The 8872-nt window shown below is 47.3% G+C and overlaps 1 long non-coding RNA gene across 2 annotated transcripts in view; it reads right to left on the bottom strand.

Annotated features, from left to right (window-relative positions):
- The window catches only part of SLC26A9-AS1 (SLC26A9 and RAB7B antisense RNA 1), a 43183-nt gene that overhangs the window by 2249 nt on the left and 32062 nt on the right, over window positions 1–8872 (bottom strand). For both annotated transcript variants that reach the window (NR_110984.1, NR_110983.1), the window contains exon 3: window positions 4063–4160. This is a non-coding gene — a long non-coding RNA (SLC26A9 and RAB7B antisense RNA 1). The remainder of the gene's footprint in view (window positions 1–4062; window positions 4161–8872) is intronic.

Genomic DNA, 8872 nt, shown 5'->3' with positions numbered 1-8872 from the left:
CCTGGGCTGGGCCTGGGTGGGTGCCAAACCGCCCACGGGGATTTTGGGAAATGCTGACTGTTCCTGCCATTTGCTCCCACTCAGCAGAAGTCCCCAACCCTCACTGAGTGTTTGGTGGCCTGTCCTGTCCACCAGCCACAGGCAATGCCTCAAGCAGGTCCCTGCAAGGTCAGGCACCAGGCAGCACCCATGGCGTGGGAGTCCTGGGACCGCACAGTCCAATGGGGTCCACAAAACAGTCACGCCGGCAGTGACACCGGACTGGCTGAGAGGTGTGTGGCAGCCTAGCCGTGACAGTGGGCTGTGCGCACTCCGGGAGGCTCCCTAGGTGCGATGGGGATGGGCCAGGCTAGGCAGGAAGTTGAACTCCTGCAGAGGGTCAATGGCCCGTACCAAGATTGTGTACGTGTCTGAGGGTGGTGTGTGTTGTGTGTGGAGGGTGGGTGGTATGTGGTATGTGTGTGTCTTTGATGTGTCTGTGTGTGTGTGTGGTATGTGTATGGTGTGTGGTATGTGTGATGTATATGTTCTGTGTGTACAGTATGCTGTGCGTTTGCGGTGTGTGTGGTATGTGTGTATGATGTGTGTTTGTATGTGGTGTGTATTGGTGGGGTCTGTGAATGAGGGTGTGGGTGGGTGGGTGTAGGTGGCATGTGTGATGTGTGTGGTGTGATGTGTGTGGTGTGTATGTGGTGTGTGGGTATGTGCATGTGTGGTGTGTGTGGTGTGATGTGCATATGTATGTGGTGTGCATGTGTATGATGTGTGGTGTGTATGTATGTGTGCATGTGTGCTGTATGTACTGTGATGTGTATGTAAGTGGTGTGTAAGGTGTGTGTGTGCATGTGTGTAGTATGTGGCGTGTGCATGTGTGGTGTGTGTGGTATGTTTGTGGTGTGAGTGCTGTGTGTGGTATGTGTGATGTAATGTGTGTGTACGTTTCTGTTGTGTGTGAAGGGTGTGGGGGTAGTATGTGTGGTGTAATGTGTGTGTATGTGGTGTGTGGTGTGAGGTGTATGTATGTATGTGTGCACGTGTGTGTGGTATGTGGTGTGTGTATGTGTAGTGTGTTGTGTGTGTATAGTATGTGTGGTGTAATGTGTGTGTATGTGGTGTGCAGTGTGGTATGTGGTATGTCCATATGTGGTGTGGTGTGTAGGGGTGTGTGGGGTGTGTGTGTGGTATGTGTGGTGTAGTGTGTGTGTATGTGGTGTGTGCATGTGGAGTGTGTTGTGTGTGTGGTGTGGTGTGTGTATGTATGAGGTGTGGAGTGTCTGTGTATGTGCGTGTGTGTGCATGTGTGTGGTATGTGGTGTGTGCATATGATGTGTGTGTATGTGTGGTGTGTGTGGTGTATGTATGATGTGTGGTGTGCATGATGTCTGTGTTGTGTGTGAATGGTATGTTTGTGGTGTGTGGTGTTCGTCGTGTGGTGTGGGTGGGGTCTGTGTGTGTGAGTGTGGGTGGGTGTGGGTGGGTGTGCTGTGTTTGCATGTGTGGTGTGTGGTGTGTGTGTGGAGGGGTGTGTATGTGGTGTGTGGATACATGCATGTGTGGTGTGATGTGCCCATGTATGTGGTGTGCATGTGCATATGTGGTGTGGTGTATGTACGTTTGCATGTGTGGTGTAGTGTGATGTGTGTATGTATGTGATGTATGTGGTGTGGTGTGTGCCTGTGCGTAGTATGTGGTGTGTGTGATGTGTGTGTGGTATGTGTGGTGTAATGTGTGTGTGGTGTGGGGGATGTGTATGGAGGGTGTGTGGGTGTGTGGTGTAATGTGTGTGTGGTATGTGTGGTGTAATGTGTGTGTATGTGGTGTGTGGGGTGTATGTGTGCACATATGTGTGCGGTATATGGTGTGTGCATGTGTAGTGTGTATGGTGTAATATGTGTGTATGTGGTGTGTGTGTTTGTGCGTATATGTGTGCATATGTGTGTGGTGCGTAGTGTGGTGTGTGGGGTGTGTGTGGTATTTGTGTTGTAATGTGTGTGTGTGGTGTAGGGTGTGGTATGTTGTGTGTGCACGTGTGGTATGTTGTGTGGTGTGCAGTGTGAGGGGTGTGTGTGTATGAGAGGTGTAATTGTGTGTGTGGTGTGCGGTGTGGTATGTGGTGTGTGCATGTGTGGTGTGTGTGTGATGTAGTGTGTGTGTATGTGGTGTGAAGGGTGTATGCATGGTGTGAATGTTTGTGGTGTGTGGTGTGGTATGTAGTGTGTGTGTGTGGTGTAGTGTGTATGTGTGTATGTAGTGTGCAGTGTGAGGGGTTTGTGTGTATGTGTGGTATGATGTGTGTGTGGTGTGCGGTGCAGTATGTGGTGTGTGCAGGTGTGTGTATGTGTGTGGTGTAGTGTGTGTGGTGTGCAGTGAGGAGTGTGTATGTGTATGTGGTGTGTGATGTGGCGTGTACATGTGTGGTGTGTGTGGTGTAGTGTGTGTGTTTGTGGTGTGCAGTGTGAGGGGTGTGTGTATGCATGGTGTGATGTGTGTGTGTGGTGTGGTATGTGGTGTGTGCATGTGTGTTATGTGTGTGTGTATGTGTGGTGTGTGGTGTGGAATGTGGTGTGTGCATGTGTGGTGTGTGTGTTTTGTGTGTGTGGTGTGCGGTGTGAAATGTGGTGTGTGCATTTGTGGTGTTTGTGTGGAGTAGTGTGTGTGTGGTGTGCGGTGTGAAGGGTGTGTGTGTGTGCATGGTGTGCTGTGTGTGTGGTGTGCAGTGTGGTATGTGGGGTATGCATATGGTGTGTGTGTGTGGTGTGCGGTGTGGAATGTGGTGTGTGCATGTGTGGTGTAGTGTGTGTGTATGTGGTGTGTGGTGTGATGGGTGTGTGTATGCATGTTGTGTGTGTGTGATGTGCGGTGTGGTATATGGTGTGTGTATGTGTGTGGGGGTGTATGTGTGGGGAGTAGTGTAGTGTGTGTGTGTATGCGGTGTGCGGTGTGATGGGTGTGTGTGTATGCATGGTGTGATGTGTGTGTGTGGTGTGCGGTGTGGTATGCGGTGTGTGCATGTGGTGTGTGTGTGGTGTGTGTTGTGTGTGTGTGTGTGATGGGGTGGGGAGTGGGCTGAGAAGGCAGGAAGGCAGAGTGCCTGCTGGAGTACGGACACCATGGCTGAGGGGTAAGGTGGGGGCAGCACCGCAGCAGATGAAGGGATGGGTCTGGACAGCACCACTGCCCTGAGCCTTACTTGTATCAGAGTCTCAGAGGAGCCCAGGGACGGGGTCATTTGCCTCATTTTAGATGAGAGGACTGAGGCTTCCTCTCCCTCCCGGTCAAATCCAACCAAGTCCTGCCAACACCACCCTCATTATCTCTCGGTCCACCTATTTCCTCCAGGTAGCCTTCCCTGACCCCCAGACCGGGTTAGGGGCCCCACCATGTGCCCACCCCCTACTCTCCCTTATCACAGTGCTAGAGCATGAGCTCTGCTAGGACAGAAGCGCCACGGGGCAGGGATTTTCATGGGTTTTGTTTTCTGTCATCTCCCCTCTGCCAAGAGCAATGCTTGACAAGCAGTTGGTACTTCATATTTTTGGAATGAATAGCTCCTGCGATAGTTCATCATAATTGTTTGTCTATTTGCCCTTAGGCTGTAGTCTCCTTGAAGGCAGGACCTCTTTTGATTCATCATTTTGACCCCAGCACCCAGCAAAGAGATTGGTGCACAGTAAGTGAGAAATATTGGTGGAATAGAATAGAAAATTAACGCAGCTATTTAAAAAGAATAATGAAATGTTTATTATGATGATATGGACTAGACATCTAAGATACCTCTTTATGAGAAAAGGCAATGGTAGAATCATATGTATAGTATGCTATCTTTCCTGTAACAGGGGGCTTTAATAAGACTGTATATTCATATTTGCTCATAATTTTAAAAACTTGGCCAGGCACAGTGGCTCATGCCTGTAATCCCAGCATTTTGGCAGGCCAAGGCCAGTGGATCAGTTGAGCCCAAGAGTTTGAGACCAGCCTGGGCAATATGACAAAACCCCATGTCTACAAAAAGCAAAGCAAAACAAAAAATATAAAAAAGTAGCCAGGCCTGGTGGTGCTCACCTGTAGTCCCAGCTACTCAGGAGGTTGAGGCCGGAGGATGGCTTGAGCCCAGGAGTTCCAAGCTGCAGTGATCCGTGACTGCACCACTGCACTCCAGCCTGGGCAACAGAGTGAGACCCTGTAAGAAATAACACACACCAAAAACAAAACAAAACCCTATTCTAGAAGGACATACAACAAAAGTGATGACCTTCAATAAAAGGGAGCAGGCAAGTGGGAGTGAGTAGTGGGAACAAGACTTTCCCTCATATAGTTTTATACTTTGAACTTCCAGCTCTTTGAATGCATTACCCAATCAAAAATGTAAAAGAAGGACATAAATATTAGTAGAAGGCAAGGGAGTGAGAAGGAGGAAGAACAAGCAGGGAGAGGGGTGGAATCCCAGCCAGGATCTAGGTGCCTCCAGTCAGTCACATCACATGCCCTTGAATCCAAGGCTGACAAATTTAGATTCCGCTGCAAGAGAAGGACATGCATTAAAAATCCCACAAGCTCACATGCTCTGGCAAAGATGCCAAGTCTCGCAGGTCAGGTGAGATGGCCACGATTGTTCTTGGTTCTCCTGTGTCAGTTAGGAGGCCAGTTTTCTCCTGGGACGTTGGTCAATAACTGCAAGTGTTTCCAACCTCAGAGGCTCAGCTCTGGAGATAAACTATCAAGTCTGTGCACTGCTCCATGGATTACCATATTAAATTACCATTCTTAGGGCAGATGGTTCTCAAGGTTAATCTCGAGGTTTGCTAGGTAGTCAACACTTTGGAGCTCCCTTTCCTAAGCTCAACAGTGGCCCCTCAGAAGACTCTCCTCCAGCTTATAAGCTGTAAGGAAAATGGTACAACTACTTTGGAGCTGTCTTGAGTAAAAATATAGCACAAACAAGCCCTGCAACCCTACAAGCCCACCCCTGAACCCATATAACCCTGTCAGGTGCATCAGAAGACAAGATGAAGAATTTTCTTTGTAGCATTGTTTGTAATAGCAAAACAAAACAAAACAAAAAACCACAACTGAAAATGACCTAGACGTCCTTCTACAGGAAATTGGATACATAAAATATGACACAGTGTTCAAACAATGGAATTTCACAGCAGTGGAAATGAATAAACTGAAGCCACATATATCAGCTGGGTGAATCTCAGAAGCCTGTGGAAGATGCAAAGCAAGCTGCAGAAGACATCACAAAACACTGACATAAAGTTCAAAACAAAACAAAACTGAAGGGTTGTCTTCACACATGTTTATCAGAAACACATGGTTAAAACAACCAAAAACATAGCAAGGGAATGATGAAACTGGGATTTAGATAGCGGTCACCTTGGAGTGGGGGTGGTAGGAGAAACGGGGGAGTGCAGTAGGGGTGAGGCACACACTGTGACAGGCCTTGTTGGAAACGGTTTATTCCTTGATCACTGTCAGTCATTTCATTATCATACTTTCTATCTTAGCTGTGTGTTAACACATATTCTTTTTCTTTTTTTTTTATTCCCCGAGACAGAGTCTTGCTCTGTTGCCCAGGCTGGAGTGCAGTGGTGCGATCTCGGCTCACTGCAACCTCCACCTCCTGGGTTCAAGGGATTCTCCTGCCTCAGTCTCCCGAGTAGCTGGGATTACAGGCATGCGCCACCATACCTGGCTAAATTTTTTGTATTTTTAGTAGAGACGGGGTTTCACTACGTTGGCCAGGCTGGTCTCAAACTCCTGACCTCAGGTGTTCCACCTGCTTTGGCCTCCCAAAGTGCTGGGATTACAGGCGTGAGCCACCGTGCCCGGCCAACACATATTCTTTTTTATGACTCAAATATTCCAGCGTAAAGATCTAAACCATAGCCTGAGCTTGGAGTCAGGCAGGCCTGGGTATGAATACTGACTTTTCCATAGTCGAGTGACCTTGGGCATGTCATTTAGCCTCTGAGTCTCCCTTATCTCACCAGGATGATGATACTTCCCTCGAAGCACCCTACTTATGTATGAAACGTGCCCGGCACATGGTAGATACTCAATGCATTTTTTACAATCTATTTGTGAATTCGGGCATTTGGACTCTGGGATTCCCCATTGTAGGCTAAGGACACGATAAATGAGAGCTGAGTGAATAAATGAGTGAGCAAACAAAAGAATTCAAAAATTCTTTTACTACCTCTACATCTCCTCCTTTGAATGCCCTCTGGAACTTAAATCATCTGGTTAGCACTGGGGTCACTTAAAATAAAATTTAAAATCCAATTCTTACACCTACTTAAAGTCTCTGGAAGCAGGTAGTGGATGAGCTTAGCCCCATGAAGATTCTGCCTCCACCCTCCAAACTGGACAAAAGATCCCTTCGGGACGAACTCGCCGTGTCTTCCTGCCCCCACAGCACCTGGCACGTTCTGGGCCTACCCGCTGCTCCTCATGAAGGCAGCTGCTCGTTGGAAGGAAAGGCCACCAGTTGGCAGGTATCTCCCCAGACGTTTGCAGGCTTGGGTTGGTCCCTCTTGAATCTATAGGAGTTTCCCTTGACCTTAAAGTCCCTCAGCAACTTTGGTCTTATTTAGGACAGCCTATGATTAGAGGAAATTAAATGGATTTCCAAACCCTGAAAATAGGCCTTCTTTTAGGCCGTCTGAGAATCTCTGCTAGGCTCTGATTTCTTTCCCCCTTTGGCTTGTTTGTTTGTTTTCTTTCAGGCTAGATCTGGGGAATGAGATTACCTGCAGAATCATGGATAGAGAAGTATATTTGAAGTCAGACAATAAAGCCTCTGTTTGACCTTAAGCCAGACCTATCATTTCCAGCTTCATTCCACTTTCTCCTCTGTAAAATAGCAATAGTAATGATTTATTGCTTACTTCACAAGGATGCTGAAAAGATAAAATAAAGCCTTGAATATATTGGTGATTTTGAAACTATAAAGTTCTTTATAACCTGGTACAGAGAAAGAATACTGGATTTAGAGTCAAGATACCTAGTATTTTCTCTTTAAGTGTTGAGGCATATTATGTACCAGACATGTTCTGAGCACTTTATGAATGTTAACTCATGGTAGTTGTCACAATATTCTTATGAGCTAGGTGTTATATTATCATTCCCATTAGGCAGATGAGGAAAGTGGGGCGCAGAGAAGTTAAGTAACTTGTCCAAGTTGCACAGTTATTATGCGGCAAAGCTGAGATCCAAGCCCAAACAGCCCAGCTCCAGAAACTGGTCCCCTTAACTAGCTTTTCTCCCTCCTGCTTGAGAAGTTTGAGCCTAGCTCTGCCACTCACTAATTCTGTCCTTCATTCATTCATTCCACATACACTTACTGAGTGCTTACTATGTGCCAGTACTGTTCTAGGGGCTGGGCATGGAGCAGTGAACAAAACAGGCTGTCACAGAGCTTGCATTCCAGCAATTACACAAGGTGTCCAGAGGATTCAATGCTGTGGAAGATGAATAAAGCAGAGCGAGGGGCTACAGTGAGACCTTGAGCCCACGGTGTCTTCTCTTTGAACCTCTGCTCTCCTATTACACAATGTAGATACTGAGGCCTGCCCTGCCTCCTTTAAAGGTTTAGGGGGCAATCAAATGAACTATAGAGGTGCATATAGGATATAAACCGTAAAACTCTATTCTCGTGAAGAGGTTGTACATTCACTGCTCTTGCCTCTTTGTTCCTACGGTGCTTTGTTCATACCTCTAAGCTACAGTCACCCTTGTTTCATAATAGGCCAGGCAGGTCTCTGTGTCATCCAATAAACTAAATATTTGAGGGCAGGACCAGATCCTGGTACAGAGTAAGTGTGAAACAAAGGTATCATTATTCGTATTAATAATCACGATTTAATGAGTCCCTAATAGTGCCAATTACCACCAGACACTTATGTACAATGCTGAAATTAACCTTCAGTGTAGAAGTTATTATTATCCAGGTCCCAAGGGAGAAATGGAGGCCCAGAGAGCTGAGAAATCTGCCCATGGCCATTCACCAGTGAGCGAAAAAAACACAGTCAGAACAGGCTCCAAAATCCACCATCTGTCACGAACCCCCTACTCATCCACACTTGTCCAGTCAGCAAATCTGGCTTGAGCACCTACCATGCTCTTGGTGCTTTGCCAGGTACTGGAGACACAGAGATGGAGATAGCAGGTGAGTTCTCTGTCCATGTGAAAAATAGGACAAACAAGTTATCACGTAAATAAGGTGGGCACGGGTCTGATCCACAGGAAGGGACTACCTAGGCTGGGAGGTAGGGGAAGGCCTGTCTGAGGAAGGGACATCAGAGCTGAGCCCTGAGCAGTGACAAGGAGCTGGTAGACCTTCGAGACACCCGGGAGGAAGGGCTGAGGTGTGAACGAGTTGGGAAAGTTCTCTAAGCAGAAGGCGGCCTGTGCACCTGGAGAGTCCCAAGAAAGGGAGACAGAGGTAAGAGGTGCAGTGAGAGGAAGGTGCGTCCACACTATACAGGCCCTGACAGACCGGGACAGGCATGGAGGCAGCCACTGAAGCTTTCCAGGTAGTAGAGCGATGTGATCTGAGGTCTGTTTTGGAACAATTATGAATTATTGAAATAACATTAGAGCCTGCTAATAATTATTATAACAATGTTTTCCAAAAAACTTGTTTAGGAGACAAGAGAGAAGAGTGAAAAAGAAGGGGCTAGAGAAGGTAGAAGTAGGCTGGGAGCAGAAAAAGGTATTCAGCCAGCAAATGGCACTTGCAGGTGTTTCCCTTCAGCTTAGCTTCAGCTGAATCCAGCCTCCTTTATCTTTTTTTTTTTTTTTTTTTTTTTGAGACGGAGTCTCGCTCTGTCGCCCAGGCTGGAGTGCAGTGGCGGGATCTCGGCTCACT

The sequence above is a fragment of the Homo sapiens genome, chromosome 1 (assembly GCF_000001405.40).
Source record: "Homo sapiens chromosome 1, GRCh38.p14 Primary Assembly".
Classification (NCBI taxonomy): Eukaryota; Metazoa; Chordata; class Mammalia; order Primates; family Hominidae; genus Homo; species Homo sapiens.
The sequence above is the reverse complement of the archived record's forward strand: the minus strand, read 5'-3'. Positions and strand labels throughout refer to the sequence as shown.